This window comes from Homo sapiens, chromosome 6 (genome assembly GCF_000001405.40).
Source record: "Homo sapiens chromosome 6, GRCh38.p14 Primary Assembly".
NCBI classification, from domain to species: Eukaryota; Metazoa; Chordata; class Mammalia; order Primates; family Hominidae; genus Homo; species Homo sapiens.
In genome coordinates this window covers 53362372-53385260 of record NC_000006.12, presented here as the reverse complement: position 1 = coordinate 53385260, position 22889 = coordinate 53362372, and the positions used below count along the sequence as shown (strand labels likewise).

The 22889-nt window shown below is 42.2% G+C and overlaps 2 pseudogenes; both read right to left on the bottom strand.

Annotated features, from left to right (window-relative positions):
- On the bottom strand, positions 6278-6829 carry RPA3P2 (RPA3 pseudogene 2; annotated as a pseudogene).
- Positions 16235-16591, bottom strand: RPL31P33 (ribosomal protein L31 pseudogene 33; annotated as a pseudogene).

Here is a 22889-nt window from a genome sequence, read left to right as displayed (position 1 = left end):
GTGGGTGTCTAAGTCTCTTTGTAGGTCTCTAAGGACTTGCCTTATGAATCTGGGTGCTCCTGTATTGGGTGCATATGTATTTAGAATAGTTAGCTCTTCTTGTTGAATTGATCCCTTTACCATTATGTAATGGCCTTCTTTGTCTCCTTTGATCTTTGTTGGTTTTAAGTCTGTTTTATCAGAGACTAGGATTGCAACCTTTGCTTTTTTTTGTTTTCCATTTGCTTGGTAGATCTTCCTCCATCCCTTTATTTTGAGCCTATATGTGTCTCTGCACGTGAGATGGGTCTCCTAAACACAGCACACTGACGGGTCTTGACTCTATCCAATTTGCCAGTCTGTGTCTTTTAATTGGGGGCATTTAGTCCATTTACATTTAAGGTTAATATTGTTATGTGTGAATTTGATCCTGTCATTATGATGTTAGCTGGTTATTTTGCCCGTTAGTTGATGCAGTTTTTTCCTAGCATCGATGGTCTTTACAATTTGGCATGTTTTTGCAGTGGCTGGTGCCAGTTATTCCTTTCCATGTTTCGTACTTCCTTCAGGAGCTCTTGTAAGGCAGGCCTGGTGGTGACAAAATCTCTCAGCATTTGCTTGTCTATAAAGGATTTTATTTCCCTTGACTTATGAAGCTTAGTTTGGCTGGCTAGAAATTCTGGGTTGAAAATTCTTTTCTTTAACAATGTTGAATATTGGCCCCCACTCTCTCTGGTTTGTAGAGTTTCTGCCAAGGGATCCGCTGTTAGTCTGATGGGCTTCCCTTTGTGGGTAACCTGACCTTTCTCTCTGGCTGCCCTTGACATTCTTTCCTTCATTTCAACCTTGGTGAATCTGATAATTATATGTCTTGGGGTTGCTCTTCTCGAGGAGTATCTTTGTGGCGTTCTCTGTATTTCCTGAATCTGAATGTTGGCCTGCCTTGCTAGACTGGGGAAGTTCTCCTGGATGATATCCTGAAGTGTTTTCCGACTTGGTTCCATTCTCCCCGTCACTTTCAGGTACACCAATCAAACGTAGATTTGGTCTTTTCACATACTCCCATATTTCTTGGAGGCTTTGTTCATTTCTTTTCACTCTTTTTTCTCTAAACTTCTCTTCTCGCTTCATTTCATTAATTTGATCTTCAATCACTGATACCCTTTCTTCCACTTGATCGAATCGGCTACTGAAGCTTGTGCATGTGTCACGTAGTTCTCACCATGGTTTTCGGCTCCATCAGGTCATTTAAGGTCTTCTCTACACTGTTTATTCTAGTTAGCCATTTGTCTAATCTCTTTTCAAGGTTTTTAGCTTCCTTGCAATGGGTTCGAACATGCTCCTTTAGCACGGAGAAGTTTATTACTGACGTTCTGAAGCCTACTTCTGTGAACTCGTCAAAGTCATTCTCTGTCCAGCTTTGTTCCATTGCTGGAGAGGAGCTGTGATCCTTTGGAGGAGAAGGGGCACTCTGGTTTTTAGAATTTTCAGCTTTTCTGCTCTTGTTTCTCCCCGTCTTTGTGGTTTTATCTACCTTCGGTCTTTGATGATGGTGACCTACAGATGGGGTTTTGGTGTGAATGTCCTTTTTGTTGATGTTGATGCTATTCCTTTCTGTTTGTTAGTTTTCCTTCTAACAGTCAGATCCCTCAGCTGCAGGTCTGTTGGAGTTTGCTGGAGATCCACTACAGACCCTGTTTGCCTGGGTATCACCAGCGGAGGCTGCAGAACACCAAATGTTGCAGAACAGCAAATATTGCTGCCTTATCCTTCCTCTGGAAGCTTCATCTCAGAGGGACACCCAGCTGTGTGAAGTGTCAGTCGGCCCCTACTGAGAGATGTCTCCAAGTTAGGCTACATGGGGGTCAGGGACCCACTTGAGGAGGCAGTCTGTCTGTTCTCAGAGCCCAAACACCGTGCTGGGAGAACCACTGCTCTCTTCAGAGCTGTCAGACAGGGACGTTGAAGTCTGAAGAAATTTGTGCTGCCTTTTGTTCAGCTATGCCCTGCCCCCAGAGGTGGAGTCTACAGAGGCAGGCAGGCCTTGTTGAGCTATGGTGGGCTCCACCCGTTTCGAGCTTCCCCGGCCACTTTGTTTACCTACTCAACCCTCAGCAATGGCAGATGCCCCTCCCCCAGCCAGGCTTGCCCCCTTGCAGTTCCATCTCAGACTGCTGCACTAGCAGTGAGCAAGGCCCCGTGGGTGTGGGAACTGCTGAGCCAGGCATAGGATATAATATCCTGGTGTGCCGTTTGCTAATACCATTGGAAAAGCCCAGTATGTAGGTGGCAGTGTCCCTATTTTCCTGGTACAGTCTGTCACGGCTTCCCTTGGCTAGGAAAGGGAAATCCCCTGACACCTTGTGCTTCTCAGGTGAGGCAATGCCCAACCCTGCTTTGGCTCGCCCTCCATGGGCTGCACCCACTGTCCAACCAGTCCCAGTGAGATGAACCAGGTACCTCAGTTGGAAATGCAGAAATCACCTGTCTTCTGCGTCAATCACACTGGGAGCTGCAGACCGGAGCTGCTCCTATTTGGCCATCTTCTTTTTTGTCTTGATTTAGAACATTTACTTATTTTTCCCATAAAACACTCAAAGTTTAGCCCGAAGATAGTATCAGCACTTTGTTCTTGCCTCAGGCTCTGCTTGGGAAATAATTTTAATCAGAGAACTGTATGTTTTCTTCCCACAGATCCTGCTTTGTATCAGGAAATGACATTGTGATTCATTTCACTACAAGTAGAATATTACAAAATATTTATAGGAAAATATCAAAAAATAACTCAAAAACAAAAGGCAAGGTAAAATAAACTCGTTTTTCAGAAATCTCTCGCTCCAGTGCCCACAGCACACAAAAAGAGAGTCAAAACAAATAAGTAACTGAGATCCTCGATCACAAATCTCCAAAGAACTGGAAAAGGGGAAGAAACAGGATGAAAATGGTGGTACAAAAAGGAATGGATGTGGCAGCACTGTTTCAATAGCCAATCGATTCTGAATGAGATACCCTCTCTTATATGTAGTAAATTCTGAACAAGGCTAAACTTTAGGATAGCCCTTGAACTGAAATAAGGTGTCACAGTAACCCTTCCAGCTTTCATGAAAGTCCCAAAACATCATCCTTGGTCTGTACTGAGACAGGAATGGAAGAACCAGATTTGAGAGCTGCTTTGGCAAGAGGCACAGCAGAATCATCCACTGACTTTTCTTGGAGGAGTGGCAGTAGCCCTTTCATTTTCCCGATCTACTCTCAATGCCATGGGCACAAATCAAGTAAGCTCTGCCTTGGAATTAGCAGTGATCTGTGGCTTGGCACTGGTGGTTGTTGTGGCTTTCTTCTCAATGGTGGCCACACTCATATCATCCACCTTGGGTTGCCGAATCAAGGTGGGTGGTGCACTGAAAATCGCAGGGTTTAGCAAGGGAGCTGGTGGAAAAAACCAAGGGTGGATAGGGGCAAGTCTATGTGGAGGCACCAAAGGTGGATCATCCTGCCAGGATGAGAAAGAGGGATACCTGAAGGTGCAGGGGGAGGTCGCTTTGGTGGTTGTTCCCAGGAGAAAGACCTGGAGGTGGGAGAGGGCCTGGGAGAGGGGCCGGGAGTCAGCCTACTGGTGGTCCTGGAGGTAAATGTTGGGGTAAAAGCCCTCAGAGGCCTGGCATTCCAGGTGGTCTCAGGAATGCCTGGAGGAACTCCTGGGGGTGGTCCAGGAGGAAGACCCATAGGTGGTCCAGGAGGCCACAGAGGTGGAGCAGGTGGTGGTATATTAATTTTGAACCTAGCCACTATTCTGAATGTTCCTATTATTTCTAGTCATTTTTTAGTTAATTCTATTGAAACAAAACTATATTATCTGCAAATAATGATTATGCCTCCGCTATTCCAGAATTTATTCCTCTTGTTTCAATGTCACTAATTCATTTAACAAATAATTGAGTTTCTATTGTGTGCCAGGCACTTTGCTAAGCCCTAAATCTAAGAAATTTGAATACTATATTGAGAACTGTGTTCTCTGTACAGTGCAATAATACACATCTTTGTCTTTCTTGCTTAATTTTTATAGAAAAACTAGTGTTATTGTGTTTCATTATTATTATTTTTTTTTTGAGATGGAGTTTTGCTCTTGTTGCCCATGCTGGAGTGCAATGATTCGATCTCAGCTCACTGCAACCTCCACTTCCCAGGTTCAAGCAATTCTCCTGCCTCAGCCTCCTGAGGAGCTGGGATTACAGGCATGCACCACCATGCCCGGCTAATTTTGTATTTTTAGTAGAGACAGGGTTTCTCCATGTTGGTCAGGCTGGTCTCAAACTCCCACCCTCAGGTGATCTGCCCGCCATGGCCTCCCGAAGTGATGGGATTACAGGCGTTCACCCGGCAGTGTTTCATTATTAAATGCAATACTAAGGCCTGGCACAATGGCTCACACCTGTAATCCCAACACTTTAGGAGGCCGAGGCGGGAGGATCACTTGAGGTCAGGAGTTTGAGACCAGCCTGGCCAACATGGTGAAACCCTGTCTCTACTAAAAATACAAAAATTAGGAAAGCCTGGTGGTGCACGCCTGTAATCCCAGCTACTCAAGAGGCTGAAGCAAGAGAATTGCTCGAACCCGAGAGGCAGAGGTTATGTTTAGCTAAGATTGCAGCACTGCACTCCAGCCTGGGCAAAAGAGTGAGACTCTGTCTCAAAAAATAAAAATAAATTTTAAAAAAAGGGATACTAGTATTTGCTTTGAAACATACATATTTTTTATCAAGTGAAGAATATTAATCTAGGCCTCTTTTACTATGAGAACTTTTTTAAAAATTGATGTTGAATTTTGTCAAATACCTTTTTACCATTTATTAGGATGAAAATGGGTTTTTAAATCTATTTGTTTGGCTGACTACATATTACTAATCCCATTTTAAAGATATTTTTGCTTTTTCACAAAAAAAACTTGTTTCGTTGAAATGTGCTGCTGGATTCCATTTACCAATATTTCAAATCCCATTTTAATGTATTCCTTTATTTTATTTGCTAATATTTTATTCAGGATTTAAGCATAAGTGAGACTTGTCTGCAGTGTTTTAAAATTATTTAAATGATCAGAAAAACATGCACACCCTGTGACTAAAAGGTATATCATTTTGTGTTTTTGTGCCTACAGAATCCTGAATTGAAAAGAAAACAAGAATAATAGCAGGAGAAGGCTCACACCCTCTACTTTAAATTTTGACTTCTGTTGCTTTATGAGAACGTCAATGAATCTGAGCATGGTAAAATGGCCTTGCCTTTGATTTGCCAAGATGTAAGGGCTAATCACCAACAAGAAATGCACAAAGCTTACAGTTTAAGAGCATGTGTTTGAAGAGCATGCGTTTGTATTTGAGCGGACCTGAGTTCAAGTTTTGGCTCTGGCATTAGTAGCTCCATAACCTCGGAAAAGCCTCTAACCTCTCTGTGTTCTACAAAATGAGAATTATCACTCTAACTACCTTGTAAGGTTGTGATGAAGATGAAAGACGACAACACGTTAAAGTGGTCAACACGGTACCCAGTATGTTGACCATGTTTAATCAATTTAGCTATGATTACTGTTTATTATTGCCATTCTTCTCTTAGACCTTCTAAAGTTAAGGTAAAGGGCTCTGAAGTCCCTATGCTGTAGCTGCTCCTAAACTGAAAATGCCCTCATCCTCTGACCCTCCTTGGTTAACAATATCTTGAGCAGTGCATCACAACTTCGGTAAAAGGTTCTGATTTTAAAGTTTATAAATTTAGAGAATGTTGATATTTACTATGCTGTATTTTTTACTGTGTACTATTTTAGTTTTTACTAATAAAATAGAAACCTAAACTCAGACAACTGCTTTATTCTTGCATCTAATCTGACCATATATTGTAGAAGCAATTCTTTATAATGGGACTTAGGTGAGAGCTGTCAATACATCAGTTTGGCCAAAAACTCTAGATTGGAATATCTAAAGCCAGACAAATAAAATTTTAAAAAGAGCAAATTGATCAGGTGCAGTGGCTCACGCCTGTAATCCCAGCCCTTTGGGAGGCCAAGGTGGGTGGATCGCTTGAGGCCAGGAGTTTGAAACCAGCCTGGCCAACATGGCGAAACCCTGTCTCTACTGAAAATACAAAAATTAGCCAGACATGCAGGCAGGTGCCTGTAATTCCAGCTACTTGGGAGGCTGAGGCATGAGAATCGCTTGAACCCAGGAGATGGAGGTTGCAGTGAGCCAAGATTGAGCCACTGCACTCCAGCCTGGGCAATAGGGTGAGACACTGTCTCAAAAAAAAAAAAAACCAAAAAAATTAAATATGAGAAAGCACAGAAATATCTCCCTCAAACAAGAAGGGTCTCCTCTAATAGTATTTAATGTAGCTCATTTGCAATCATATGAAAATTCATCAAGATCAAATCATGTTGCACAATCCCTAAAGGATAAAACTGAGGGAACTCATGGATAATTTTCACAGCTTCATTGTAAAGTCCAAGATCAAAAGGATGGTTATCTTCTTTAAACTGGACATAAGATGCACACATGATGGTTGCCTTGGTGCTTACTCTTCCAACACTTCCAAGATTCCAGAGATTTCTTCATGAAGGGGCTCCATTAACTCAATGATTCCATTTTTTCCTTCTTCATCTGAAAGAATAAACATTTTTCCAGTGGGATGAGTCTTTTCCAGCCTCCCTGTGAAGCAGATGGGCTGGTCGATGAACCAAGTAGCATGCCGGCGTTGATGCACGACCTGGGCAACTCCATTACGTCTACCATGACTACAGTCCAAGACTGCTGCTGTGGAGAAACTGACTTGATGACTGAAAGTATGCGTCACGTGGGTGTCTGTATCTGCTGTGCTCTATTACAGTGCCTTCCTCTGTCAGAAGTCTTTAATCCAAGACTATACAGTCAGACAAAAATCATTGAAAAATGAAATGTCTTACAAACTGTGAAAGTACATAATGCCTGTAACTGGCAATTTAATTGACATGAGGTATGAATTTGGCAATAGTGGTAGCTGACATCACAGTCAGTTTCTGCTAACCTGACTGTTCTTTAAGTGACTGAGACAAAAATAGAATCTTCTCTGAATTTTCAGAGTTGTCTTTAATTACTGACAGACCTTGGAATTCTAGTGAATTCCATTTAAATCAGTGAGGCTCAGAAATGTTATTTATTTCTTTCCAGCTTAGCCTGATAACAACTTACTCTAGTGCCCACTTACTTATTTCTGGAAACAAAATCACACAATTGAGATTCCAGGTCTAGGCTCCACTGACGCAGACATGAGCAAAGTTCCAAAAAAGGAAAGAATGTGGAGGAGATGGTGGCTAATTCTCCTAACTGCCAGCTCCCTGAATGAACTAGTCTCCACCCATAACTGCAGCCAACCCTAAAGCCCTAAAGACCACCAGGCCATCGATTTATATAAATATGGCCACATCAATGGGGGATTCTGAGCATTTGACCAAATGATCGTAAATTCTCTGAAAATCATGTTTAAGGACTGCATATAGACCATTCTATGAGTATCTTTAATGGAATGACCCCAGATCAGGTTCAGGTCTTTTAAGAAACTCACAGCCTCTGGCACAAATTAGAATTGCTACTTTCTATCTTATCTTGGGTAACAGTAATCAGACTATACATTAGGCTCTTAAAATGAAAACATATCCCCTAGGATATTCTAACCTAGTACATACTGGAAACATGGTATAATCCCCCTTCCTGGACATCTGCAGTATAAATGAAATATAACCAAAGGTCCCATGCTGACCTGACACAAAGGTACTTTTTGTCAAGTAAATGTGTAACAGAGAGAAACAAGACAAGTCCAGAGGTTACTAGAGCGCAAAGTGATTTGTTGTTCAAACATAAAACACACAAAATTTGCTAGCAAAATTAAAGTAAAAAACTAGGAATATACATATATAATGTTTATATATGTATAATAACTAAGATGTATCTATAAATTGTGTTTTACAAAGACAAGATGGCAATAAGACATTAACAGTGAGTGAGTTGTGATATGATGGGCTATTTTCTTCAAACTTGGTATTTTCAAATTTTCTACAAGCCGTATTACTTTCATAAAACAGAAACACAAAAAAATAGGTTTTTAAAAAAACTAACAGACTCTCAGTGCAAACATCTGGAATCAGAGCATACTTTAAGGTATACTTAAAATTGCTAGGTGTGGTGACCCGTGCCTGTAGTCCCAGCTACTCAGGAGGCTGTGGAATAAGAACCTCTTGAACCCAGGAGGCAGAGGTTGCAGTGAGCCAAGATCACGCCACTTCACTCCTGCCTGGGCGTCAGAGCAAAACTCTGTTTCCAAAAAAAAACCAAGGTACTTAAAATCAACACCCTCTGCTAAGGAGACCAGATAATAATTCTTAGCTGAGTCTACCTCTAGCATCCTGTCTGGAATGGGGCAAAGGCTAAGAGATGCTGAGACGTCTGCTTTGGCTGGTGGTTCCAATTGCCCTCCTAATCCTGAGACAAAAGGCAAGAGAGTACAAGGTGTTCCTGTTTGGTGGTCAGATGTCATTCCAATTGAAAATGATGATTTATCAACTCTATTAAGAGGACACAGAACTGAACCTCCTGATCTATCTCAATCTGCAGTCAATAATCAATGTGCCTTTGGAAACCTGCCTCACAATTATTCAATAAAACTTCACAAATAGTATGATAAAACTAAGTGTATTGTTTACAACAAAGCAAAAGAGCCAATATAATCATGCACAATACTCCTAACTTCTGATACTAGAAATTTTTGCCCAGCTGGAAGACAGGAAGCAACTACTTATGCAGAGAAAATGGGAAACTTAAAAAAATGAATGAGAAGTGAAGACACATAGATTGAAACATTTTCCTGGTCAGAAAAAACGGGCGAATATGATACTTGATGCTCAGGCCAAAGTGTTTGTCTCTTTTGAGGCAATGGTTGGAAATTTTAAGGAAAAATAAATTATGCTATACTGGACCTAACCAAACATGAATTTTCAGAGACATCTATGAATGCTGAAGAAGTTAAACATCAACCAGTTTGCAGTACAATCTGGCTATGATTTATCACTTAACTAAAAGAACTTACTACTGATGGTTTGGAAGAACAGTTATTATCAAATCAACTCAGGAAAGTAGTGCTGAAAAAATCATGAGTTTCACAATCTCACAAAGAGGTTTGTCCAGCTGCTTATGCTTACAAGGTCTACTGCAGTGCCACAGAAGTTGCTCTCATTAGCCAAGTTGCCTGGGAACTGACCAGCCCATCAAAATCCTAGGCTGTGGTATTTCAAAGTGTTCAGGCATAGAATCAACAGATTGTCAAAGTGTGTAGAGCTCAAGTCTATAATGATAATCTACAGTAAGTTAAAATATCCCAAATCATCTTTGCCTATCTCTTTTTCTTAGCTGTTTATAGGCATAGATTTTCACTTGCACATCTTGTACCAGCCCCTTAGAAGGAATTCACTAAGATTATCACAGTATATCCATTACATTTGGTTGCACACTGAGTCCACTTTTATTTGATTTCTCTGAATTTGATATTTTAATAGATTTTTTTAAAAAATATTTATTATATGTTTATTGATAATATTGCTTTTCAATTTTAAAAAATGTATTTTCTATCCTATCCTGTTCTAAGCATTACAGCTTGCCCCTAAATAACTATATTCTTTTCCTTCTTCAGGTCTCAATGGCTCTTATACCTCTCATAACATATCATACGGTATTTCACCTTTTGTTATTGTTCATGCTTATATTTACTTCCTTCATTATACCGAAGGCCATTTACAGCAGGATTTCTCTTCTCATACTTAAATCATTTCTACCACTTAGCAGGTGGTAAGGACACCAGAAATATGTGTTGAGTTGAATTGAATTACTTGATATAAATGATGTAAATTATCCTGTCCTGGATAGTTGGTACAAGATATCCAAATTGCATTTATAGTATCACTCACATCCATCAATCAAAAACCTCCTCATTGCCTTACATTTTTAATGGTTGATGTCATCGACAACCTCTCTATCATCAACAACTTCTCTATCACCTTCAAGAATTTTCTCCTCTAGCCCATCAGCCATCATGAACTCATGTCGTTTCTACTTCTGCAGTCTCTCATCTCTCCTGTCCTTCCTATTGTCTTGCTATAACTCCATTATCTCATAACACGCTTGTGTAAAACCCTCCTAATTTGTTTTGCCCTACCTGGTGCATCCTTCTCACCCCTGCCACAGTAACCTTCCTAAACACAGGTAAGTTCGTATTTGTTTTCTTTATCAAAAACCACAAAACACTCTCAGTTACCCAAAATCTAAATGGCTTCTTCCAAGACCCTCTACTGTGGTGTCAAGCTAACTCTCCAACCTCATCTCCAACTAAAGGCTCTATGAGCCCTACACTCTGGCCACGTGGTTCATTTACCAGCTCCGAACATTTTACACACTTTCACCACTCTATGTCTTTGCCTTGATAGCTCCCTAAAATTTCAAAAATTTTACATGAAGCTCAGATTTATGTAGAGTTGAGATTAAGAGAAGGAGGTAAAGGATATATTCCTGAAACTTCTTCAGCTGTTAGAAGTCATGTGCCTCTTTAGCACTAAGTGTATAGAGCTAAAGCTAGAAGCAGAGACACTCTGACCATTACTCCTATGATATAGTATATCCCATAGGTAGCAAACTCCTGCAAGGCAAAAGTTTGATTATATCTTTTGACCCCAGAAGAGCAGGGAGTATTTTCTGTTTTGTTCCCTGGTCTCCCAAGTGCCTAAAAAGTGCATGCCACATAATGGAAACTAAGAAAATACCTGTTGCATAAAGAAAAATATCAGGAGGCATATTCCATTTGGAAGAAATTGAGGTGAAGATGCATCAAATGTGTGCCCACTCTGTACCTGCCCATGCACAAACACCGGGGTGTAGCAATGGGCGTAAGGAAGCCATGCCCTGTCCTAGAGGAACTTGCAGCCCGGAGCAGGAGACCAGCACCGAAGGATTATTTGCAGTAACTCAAGTGGGGAATCCTTGATGCCAGACCTGTTTCCTCAACTGTAAAGGAAGAAATTAGAAAATCCTCTACAGTCCTTGGTTCTGTCTTGTTTTAAACATGCTGTTTACAATTCCCAGATCAAAGTTCCCAAAAGCCCAGGGTTGTGCCCTCTCATTTTTGTATTCCCTAGAGTACCTTGCAACTAAATGTTGCTTATTATCTAGGTTTTGAATTGAGCTGATGGAACTGTAATTGCCTAATTTTTAAAACAACAGTAAAATTAGATATAAAGAAGAAAAGCTCTCTGGATATTATATTAAGAAAAGGGCATCCCCAATAAACAGCTACTTGAGTATGATGTGAGGCAGAAAATCTTCCACATTCAAACAATTACTAGTTGTTCAGGGCAAATTGTTGAGCAATCTTGAGCCTTGGTTTCCTCATAAACACAAAGGGAATAATCATACCTACTCACAGAGTGGGGAGAACCTTATCAGGTAATGAATGTGAAATGGCTCTCTAAGTATAAAGAACATTCACGAACGTTAGTTAATGCTACAGTACGACCACTTATCAGTTCCTCAGCAGTGGCTGCAGATCCACTGCACCTTCGCTGCCTTCTTTCCTGTTCTGGTTAGTCTGCTAGGTAAAGTATGGAAGAATTTGATCTTTTCTGTTAACTTTGTCAAATTTAAACTATTGACTGTCTCATATTCACAGTTTAAAATGTAGCTAAAATCAGATTTACCATTGTTGGAGATATTTGTGGATAAATTAATCAGGGAAAAGAATATAAGAAAGTCAGGAAAAGTAGATTAAAATTCTGCATACTTATGGTTCTTCCTATTTAGGAAGAAATATGGCATAGCCCAAAAAAGGACATTATTCAAAGAAGGAAGAAGATATGTTCACAACAATATTCATTGCAATATTATTTACAATGGTGGAAATGATGACTTTCCTATTCAGCAGTACAGGCACTCCTGAGGCCACTCCTATCCCTGAACCTCAGGCTTTACCTCTGATAAAACAGAAGAATTTATTTAATGGAGGTTCTTGAGTCTACTCTCAGTATTTTTGATTCAATAGGTTTGATTCAAGGCCTAGAAATTTGAATTGAACACCAATGGCTAAAGCAATGGCTGTAGTATAATTATTTAGTGGACATTTTTAAAAGATAGATAATATAGCAACATGGAAAAATATTATAATTAACTATTAAGTTAAAAAAGCAGAAACAAAATTACACAACCACAGAAAAGATGTATATTCAAGTAGGCAAGAAATGTATGGGATATATTTTTTAAAACAGTTTGAATTATTAATCTAGAATACTTAGAGTCAATTGCCTTCCTTTCATTTTGAGAGCTAAATGCTATAACGTTGCTTAGATGATTTTGAAATCTGCATTCATTCAGACCAAGCAGTAGGTGGATTTGGGATTTTATGCACACTTTAGAAAAAAGAAACAGCCAATAGTGTGGTTTCTGCCCCTCCTATAATTCATTTAATGTTAGTGAGTAAATATTAATACTTGGCTTTACGAAAATACCTTGTATTGTCCCATAGACAAGGAGGTGGGACACAATTCACAATCATAATTTAACTCTGTCAGAAAAAAACAAACCAACAACTATAGCAACTGCTACCACAAATTTAGAACCCAGAAATATTTACACCGTGACAATTTAGGGTGCAGACATTACAGCCACATACATAAAATACCGCTGTGGCTCCCCTAGAACAATCCAAAAGAATAAAGAGCTTTGACACCTATTGAAAAATAGATATTCCTAGATTAAAGATTTAGGTACCTTTTAATCCCTTAACACCTTTAGCTGAAATGTATTCTCTGGCATCACATAGGAAAAAAATGAATCAACAAGCTTGCTAACCTATCAAATAGTGACTAGTAATAGTCTGCTGGCAGGCAAATTTTTTTTTTTTTTTTTTTTTTTTTTTTGAGACAGAGTATTGCTCTGTCACCCAGGCTGGAGTGCAATGGCGCAGTCTCAGCTCACCACAACCTCCACCTCCCGGGTTCAAGCGATTCTCCTGCCTCAGCCTCCCGAGTAGCTGGGTTTACAGGTGCCTGCCACCACACCAGGCTAATTTTTGTATTTTCAGTAGAGACTGGGTTTCACCATGTTGGCCAGGCTGGTCTCAAACTGCTGACCTCGTGATCCACCCGCCTCGGCCTCCCAAAGTGCTGGGATTACAGGTGTGAGCCACTGTGACCAGCCAAATCTTTTTTTTTTTTTTTTTTTGAGACAGGATCTCACTACATTGCCCAGGCTGGCCTCAAACTCCTGGGTTCAAGGGATCCTCCAGCCTCAGCCTCTCAAGTAGCTGGGATTACAGGTGAACGCCACCGTGGCTGGCAGAAGCCAAATTGTAGTAGTTATTTTCAGACAATTAAAGCGTTTAAGGGGTGAGCACCTCTTCCCCACGCCTCATTCATTTCCCTGGGAAACTGTGTAATGCTCATATTTCTCATTGAAGAGGATGGCAGATGCTAGAATCATTACCAGGTTAAGTTAAACCAATGGTTACTTAAGAGACTCAGGCCAAAATGGACCTTCTCCTTTTTTGTAGATAACCATCTCTAATTCCTACTTTGTCAAGAAAAAACATAGCCACAGAATGCCTTAGATATAGTGGAGCACAGAAATCGCTTTCTTCTCAGTCTAATAAAAAGGAATAATTTACTCTAGTAACTCCATTACCTGTGATATCTAGGAACATAATGCAAAGTCCTCGCCATGATCAGGCCATCACGGTGGAAGCTACAGAGAAAGTCTCATCAGAGACACTACTGAACTATCCAGGGATAGGATGTAGGAATTTAGATGGTTTTAAAAATATACATCCCTCATCCCAGACCAGCAGCAATGCTATAAAGACATGGGTGCAAGAACAAACTTTTGATAATTACTAGAGTGCTAAGGCCAGGACACAATCTTGGGCCTTACAAGGATTTTTTTTTTTTTTTTTTTTTTTTGAGATGGAGTTTTGCTCTTGTCCCCCAGGCTGGAGTGCAATGGCATGATCTTGGCTCACTGCAACCTCTGCCTCCTGGGTTCAAGCTATTCTCCTGCCTCAGCCTCCAGAGTAGGTGGGATTACAGGTGTGCACCACCATGTTCGGCTAATTTTGTATTTTTAGTAGAGATGGGGTTTCACCATGTTGGTCAGGCTGGTCTTGAACTCCTGACATCAAGTGATCCACTCACCTTGGCCTCCCAAAGTGCTGGAATTACAGGCGTGAGCCACTGCGCCTGGCCTGGGATCTTTGAAAAGAACTAAGCTACACTAAATTAATCAAAACCAGTAATAAATGTAAATATCTAAATAGATAAATGATAGACCAATCAAGATAAATAAAAACTTATTTGGTGCAAACTTTTCAGCACTTCCTATGCTCTTAATTTCATTTAGGTGGAGAACACCCCAGCATTATTTTGTAGAGTATTAAACTTATATTATCATTTTTCTCCAGCAAACTTTTTTCCCTGATACTCCCAGAGTAAGAGCCAGTTTCAGCCCACTCAAGTGAAATTTTAATTCTGAAGAGGCATAAGTCATTCTGACCATAAGCCATCCTTAATCTGGGCAGGCCTGAAGAGCTGGACTGTTTCCTCAACTGTGTGGAGGATTGTAAGGATGTTTAGGGGCCAGGGCCAAGGGTCCAATGTGGTTCAAACCTCTGAGAACCCACAAGATCAGCCCTATAACAGTCCTGGGTCATGTATCACACTGGCTTCCCTGAGCATCAGACTAAGTTGAACAATCAAATTTGTGTCTAATCATTGTCCGTCCACCTTCTCCCACAGCCGGTCCCTGGACCCAGAGCACATTTGTGAGTTTGGGTCAGTACTTGCCTGGCTTCTGGGTGGTTGAAAATCTCACAAATAGCAGGTCAATGTTGAACATGCAAAGATAATCATTCTCCAAGGGCAACATTCTTAACATAGTTGATGGTGCAGTTTTGGAGGAGTTGAGGTAACATGCAGTCATAATGGATAATCCTTCAAACAGTTTTATATAAAGTAGAAAATATGTCACTGGCAGAAAATCCCCCAAAAGCTAAGGTGTCTCTGCAAAATCCAGAGCAGACAGGACGAATCACTATGAAAACAACTGAAGAAATCTCGTACTTGTGATTAACCTTATCTGACACCTTATCTCTTCCTCTCAGCTCAGATTAAAGAGCCCTTTCATACATATTAACGCATTTGATCCCACAACAAATAAGGGACATCGCACTGGGCTTATTGCCAAGTTACCCCATTACAGCAGAGAAAACATTATCTCTAGAAGGTTTTAATTACAGCTACAAGGAAAGTCCTTCCCAGATGAAATCCTACTGTGTTTCCCCTTCCCACCAGGTTTTTCCACATGTTCGTTTTTATACATGACATATTTTACCAAATCCTAAATTCTTGGGTTTATCATTATCTTCTGCCTTCTTGCCCTCCTTACAAGAATTATCTTCTGCCTTCTTGCCCTCCTTACAAGAATTATCTTCTGCCTTCTTGCCCTCCTGGTGCCACAGACATTAGTGAAAAACTTCATCAGAGAAATTCACTCATCCTCTCCCAGAGTTCCCCATTGTCTAACCCAGTGCTGCCAATAGAAATACAATGAGAAGGCGGGGCGCAGTGGCTCACACCTATAATCCCAGCACTTTGGGAGACTGAGGCAGGCCAATCACTTAAGCTCAGGAGTTCAAGACCAGCCTGGACAACATGGCAAAATCCCTTCTCTACAAAAAAAATACAAAAATTAGCGGAACGTGGTGGCACACCCACATAGTCCCAACTACTTGGGAGGCTGAGACAGGAAAATCCCTTGAACCTGGGAGGCAGAGGTTGCAGTGAGCTGAGATGGTGCCATTGCACTCCAGCCTGGGTGACACAGCGAGACTGTGTCAAGAAAGAAAGAAAAAAAAGAAAGAAAGAGAGAAAGAGAGAGAAGGAGAGAGGGAGGGAGGGAGAGAGAGAGAAAAAAAGAAGGAAAGAAAGAAAAGAAAGAAAGAAAGAGGGAGAAAGAAAGGAAAGAAAGAAAGAGAAAGAAAGAAAGAAAGGAAAGAAAGAAGAAAGAAGAGAGAGGAAGGAAAGAAGGAAAAGAAAGAAGGAAAGAAAGAGAAAAGAAGAAAGAGAGAAAGAGAGAGAAAGAATACAATGCGAGAGCCATATTACTCATTTATTCATTTTTGCAGTGCTACTTTATTTGACAATCAGCAGTTAGTTCTCATCCATATTGACTGCAGATTTTTTAAAGGTTGTGACAGGTACATAGCTACCAAAATACAGAGCTTATTTGGTGATTCTTCATCCTCATTACTTTTTTGTGGACAACTGCACATGGATATGGTATGGGACATTCCTTAATCTTTTGGGCCAGACAGCTTTGTGGAGCCTGATACTAATATGCACATCTGGAGTTCTCACCTGCTTCATGGCAAATTTCCAGATTTCTCTGAGTTCTAGAGGCACATGCTTTTTGAAGTTCACTCCACAGGCACCTTTGTGAATGTTGATGATGTGTTCTCGGGTCACCACCTCATTGATGGTAGAATGGACCTTCTTCTTCTCGCTACCTGTCAGGCCCAAGGTAGAAAGCCACATATGTAATTTAAATTTTGCACCCTCTGAAGCAATGGCCCAAGCTGTACCTTGGCAGTGGCTATAGTTTCTAAAAATAAAAAGAAATAAACTAATTAAAAAATTTGTTCATTGTGGTAAAATGTATATAACATAAAATTTACCATTTTAACCATTTTAAAGTGTATAATTCAGTGGACTAACTACATTCACAATGTTATGCAACTGTCACCACTATTCATTTCCAGAACTTTATCATCATCCTAACAGAAATTCTATACTCATTAAAAAATAACTACCCATTCCCTCCTCCCTCCAGCCCCTGGTAACCACTATACTTTCTGGTTCTATAAATTTGCTTATCTAGGTTTTTCATGTAAGTGGAATCACAATATGTGATCTTTAGCATCTGGCTTATTTCACTTAACAATGTTTTCAAGGTTCATCATGTTGCAGCATGTGTCAGAATTGCATTCCTTTTTAAGGCTGAATAATATTCCATTGTATATTCACCCATTTTGTTTATCCACTGATATGGTTTGGCTCTGTGTCGCTACCCAAATCTCATCTCGAATCCCCACGTGTCAAGGGAGGGACCTAGTAGGAGGTGACTGGATCATGGGGGTGGTTCCCCCCATGCCTTTCTTGTGATAGTGAGTAAGTTCTCATGAGATCTGATGGTTTAAAAGTGTGGCACGTCCCCCCTTTACTCTCTCTCTCTCTCACTCCTGCTGCCATGTAAGATGTGCCTTGCTTCCTATTCACCTTTTGCCATGATTTTAAGTTTCCTGAGGGCTCCCCAGCCATACAGAACTATGAGTCAATTAAGCCTCTTTCCTTTATAAATTACCCAGTCTCAGGCAGTTCTTTATAGCAGTATGAAAATAGACTAATACAGGCCAGGCGCAGTGGCTCATGCCTGTAATCCCAGCACTTTGGGAGGTCAAGGCGGGCAGATCATGAGGTCAGGAGATCAAGACCATCCTGACTAACGTGGTGAAACCCTGTCTCTACCAAAAATACAAAAAATTAGCCAGGTGTGGTGGCGGGTGCCTGTAGTCCCAGCTACTCGGGAGGCTGAGGCAGGAGAATGGCATGAACCTGGGAGGTGGAGCTTGCAGTGAGCCAAGATCACGCCACTGCACTCCAGCCTGGGTGACAGAGCAAGACTCTGTCTCAAAAAGAAAGAAAAAAGAAAAAAAAGAAAAGAAAATAGACTAATACAGAAAATTTGTATCAGGAGTGGAGTACTGCTATAAAGATATCTCAAAATGTGGAAGTGAGTTTGGAACTGGGTAATGGTCAGAGGTTGGGACAGTTTGGAGGGCTCAAAAGAAGACAGGAATATGAAGAAAAGCTTGAAACTTTTTGGAGACTTTCTGAATGGTTTTGACCAAAATGCTGATACTCATATGGACAATGAAGTCCAGGCTGAGGTGGTCTCAGATAGAGATTAGGAACTGATTGGGAATTAGAGTAAAGATCACTCTTGCTATGCTTTAGTGAAGAGACTGGTAGCATTTTGCTCCTGCCCTAGAGATCTGTGGAACTTTAAACTTGAGAGAGATGATTTAGGGTATCTGGCAGGAGAAATTTTTAAGCAAAGCATTCAAGAGGTGACCTGGCTGATTCTGAAAGCATTCAGTCATACACATTCACAAAGAGATTGTCTGAAACTGAAACTTCTGTTTAAAAGGGAAGCAGGGGCCAGGCACAGTGGCTCATGCCTGTAATCCCAGCACTTTGGGAGGCTGAGGTAGGCAGATCACCTGAGGTCAGGAGTTTGAGACCTGCCTGGCTAACATGGTGAAACCCCGTTTCTACTAAAAATACAAAAAATTAGCCAGACGTGGTGGTGCACACCTGTAATCCCACCTACTTGGGAGGCTGAGGCAGGAAAATCGCTTGAACCTGGTAGGTAGGTGGAGGTTGCAGTGAGCCGAGATTGCGCCACTGCACTCCAGCTTGGGCAACAAGAGCGAAACTCCATCTCAAAAAAAAAAGAGGGAAGCAGAGCATAAAAGTTTGGAAATTTGCAGCCTTACCATGCAGTAGAAAACAAAAACCCATTTTCTGGGGAGAAATTCAAACAAGCTACAGAATTTGCATAAGTAACAAGGAGCTGAATATGAATAGCTAAGACAATGTGGAAAATGTGTCCAGGGCATGTCAGAGATCTTTGCAGCAGCCCCTCCCATCACAGGCCCAGAGGCCTAGGACGGAAAAATGGTTTCATGGGCCAAGCCCAGGACTCCGCACCCTGTACAGCCTCAGGACTTGGTGCTCTGCATCCCAGCTACTCCAGCTCTAGCCATCGCTACAAGGGGCCAAGGTACAGCTTGGGCCATTGCTTCAGAGGGTGCAAGTCCCAAGACTTGGCAGCTTCCACATGAAGTTGGGTGGGTCTGCTGGCATGCAGAAGATAAGAATTGAGCTTTAGAGGCCTCCGCCTAGATTTCAGGGGATGTATGGAAATGCCTGGATGTCTAGGTGGAAGTCTGTTGCAGGGGCAGAGCCCTCATGGAGAACCTCTACTAGGGTAATGCAGAAAGGAAATGTGGGGTTGGAGACCTCACACGCCATTTCCACTGGGGAACTGCCTAGTGGAGCTGTAAGAAAAGGGCCACCACCTTCCAGAATCCAGAATGGTAGATCCACCAGTAGCCTGCACCGTGTGCTTGGAAAAGCCACAGGCACTCAATGCCAGCCTGTAAGAGCAGTCAGAAGGAGGGCTGTACCCTGCAAAGCCACAGGAGTGGAGTTGCCCAAGGCCTTGGGTGCCCACCCCTTGCATCAGCATGCCCTGGATCTAAGTCATGGAGTCAAAAGAGATTATTTTGGAACTTTAAGATTTAATGAATGTCCTGCTGGGTTTCAGACTTGTATGGGGCCTGTGGCCCCTTCGTTTTTGCCAATTTTTTCCCATTTGGAATGGGAACATTTACCCAATGCGTGTACCCCCTATTGTATCTTGGAAGTAACTAACTTGCTTTTAATTTCACAGGCTCATAAGCAGAAGGCACTTGTCTTGTCTCAGATGAGACTTTGGACTTGGACTTTTGAGTTAATGCTGGAATGAGTTAAGACTTTGAGGGGCTGTTGGGAAGGTATAATTGGTTTTGAAATGTGAAAAGTACATAACATTTGGGAGGGGATGTTATTCCAGGGATGGAATAACATGGTTTGGCTCTGTGTCTCCACTCAAATCTCATCTCAAATTGTAGTCCCCATATGTCAAGGGAGGGACCTGATGGAAGGTGATTGTACCATGGGGGCAGTTTCTCCCATGCTGTTCTCACAATAGTGAGTTCTTATGAGATATGATGATTTTAAAGTGTGGCACTTCCCCTCCTTTGCTCTCTCTCTCTCTCTCTCTTGCTGCCATGTGAGACGTGGCTTGCTTCTTCTTTGCCTTCTGCCATGATTGTAAGTATCCTGAGGCCTCCCCAGCCATGCAGAACTGTGAGTTAATTAAACCTGTTTCCTTTACAGATTACCCTGTCTCAGGCAGTTCTTTATAGCAGTGTGAAAATGGACTAATACATCTGTTCAGCTATTAATGGACATTTGAGTATTACCACCTTTGGGATATTATCAAAAATGCTACTATGAACATTACTGTACCAGTATTTGTTTGAGTCCCTGCTTTCTATTCTTTTGGGTATACACCTAGAATAAGTAAAATTAATCTAAAAATATATTGTACTTAACCAAATATATCAAAACTATTACCATGTCAACATATAATTAAAGGAAACAATTACAAGATGTTTTACATTTTTTTCTAAGGTCTCAAATTTCAGTGTATTTGTAGTACTTCTCAATTCAGACACTAAATTTTCACCAGAAACACTTGATCTGTAGTTAGATTTCATAAAATTATAGTTGAAAAAGTAGATTCACATACCCAAGTTAGAACATGTAAATTAATTAAAATTAAATAAAATGTAAAATTCCATTCCTCAGTCCTTAGCTACATTTCAAGTGCTCAATAGCTGCATGTGGGGCCAGTGGCTTCTGTATGTACAGCACAGGTCTAACCAATTGGGTAGAAAATCCTCTGAGCCAGGTGCAGTGGCTTACGCCTGTAATCCCAGCCCTTTGAGAGGCTGAGGCAGGAGGACATTTTGAGCCCGAAAGAAGTTTGAGATTAGCCTACGCAACATGGTGAGACCCCATACCTACAAAAACAAACAAACAAACAAAAAAAAACCCAAAAGAATGGAAAAGAGAAAAGCTTCTGGCCCCTCACAATCTGACTCCATCCTACTTTACCCAGCCTGTTTCCCACTATTCCTCAGCATGTGTCTTAGACCGACTGATCTGGAACATTAATTTGACAAGTATTTATCAAGCATTGACCATATGCCAAGCATTGTGCTAAACATTGGATATAATGGGAAATGAAATGATGTCTGCATAGAGCCTAAAAACAGGTGGGGCCAGCAGACATAAACACAGACAACTGTATAAATAAATATATATTACAAATTGTTATATGCCCTATGGCGAAAGAGTGTCATTATGGAACAGGTGGATTTAAAGAGGTAATCAACAATCACGCAAATAACAGTATCTTAAAAATTTCGATAAGTACATGGGGAACAAAGTAAAGAATCTGATGATAGTGGACCTTATTTCCAAGGGAAGCTTCTCAGAGTGAAAGGTGACAACGTGCTAGCAGCCCTTGCTTGCTCTCAGCACCTCCTCGGCCTTGGCGTCAGCACTGGCCATGCTTGAGGAGCCCTTCAGCCTGCCACTGCACTGTGGGAGCCCCTCTCTAGGCCGGCCAAGGCCGGAGCTGACTCCCTCTGCTTGCCGGGAGGTGTGGAGGGAGAGGCACAGGCGGGAACCAGGGCTGCGCACAGCGCTCGCAGGCCAGTGCGAGTTCCCAGTGGGCGCAGGCTGGGTGCGCCCCACACTGGGAGCTGCCGGCCACGGCAGGCCCTGGCAGTGAGGGGCTTAGCACCCTGGCCAGCAGCTGCGGTGGGGGCACCAGGTCCCCCAGCACTGCCGGCCCGCCGGCACCACGCTCGAATTCTCACCAGGCCTCAGCCACCTCCCCATGGGGCAGGGTTGGGGACCTGCAGCCCGCCATGGCGGAGCCACGCCCCCCCGCCCGCCTGGTGGGCTCCCACTGGGCCTTAGCCTCCCTGATGAGCGCTGCCCCTTGCTCCGTGGTACCCGGTCCCATCGACCGCCCAAGGGCTGAGGAGTGCAGGCGCCCCGCAAAGGACCGGCAGGCAGCTCTGCCCGTGGCCCTGGCACAGGATCCACTGGGGAAGCCAGCTGGGTTCCTGAGTCGGGTAGAGACTTGGAGAACTTTTATGTCTAGCTGGAGGATTCTGTATGTGCCAGTCAGCACTCTGTGTCTAGTTCCGGGGTTTGTGGATGCACCAATCAGCACTCTGTGTCTAGCTAATCTGGTGGGGACTTGGAGAACTTTTATGTCTAGCTAGAGGATTGTAAATGCACCAATCAGCACTCTGTATCTAGCTAATCTGGTGGGGACTTGGAGAACTTTTATGTCTAGCTAGAGAATTGCAAATGCACCAATCAGCACTCTGTGTCTAGCTCAGGGATTGTAAGCGCACCAATCAGCACTCTATGTCTTGCTAAATTAGGTTTGTAAATGCACTAATCAGTGCTCTGTGTCTAGCTAATCTAATGGGGACTTGGAGAACTTCTGTGTCTAGCTCAAGGTTCCTAAATGCACCAATCAGCACCCTGTCAAAATGGGCCAATCAGCTCTCTGTAAAATGGACCAATCAGCAAGATGTGTGTGGGGTCAGATAGGTCCCCTTCCAGGCTGTGGAAGCTTTGTTCTTTCGCTCTTCGGGATACATCTTGGAGCTGCTCAGTCTTTGGGTCTGAGCAGCCTTTATGAGCGGTAACACTTACCGCGAAGGTCTGCAGCTTCACTCCTGAAGCCAGCGAGAACACGAACCCACCAGATGGGACGAACAACTCCGGACGTGAGGCCTTTAAGAGCTGTAACACTCACTGGGAAGGTCTGCAGCTTCACTCCTGAAGTCAGCGAGACCACGAACCCACCAGAAGGAAGAAACTCCAGATGCATCTGAACATCTGAAGGCACAAACTCCAGACACGGCATCTTTAAGAACTCTAACACTCACCTTGAGGGTCCGCGGCTTCATTCTTGAAGTCAGGGAGACCAAGAACCCACCAATTGCGGACACAAGAGGAAGTAATTTGAAGGCAAGATGGGAGGGACAGATGAACTGGATAAAGGGGTACAAAAGTGGGGCAGGGTGGTAAAGTGGGCAGAGGGAAC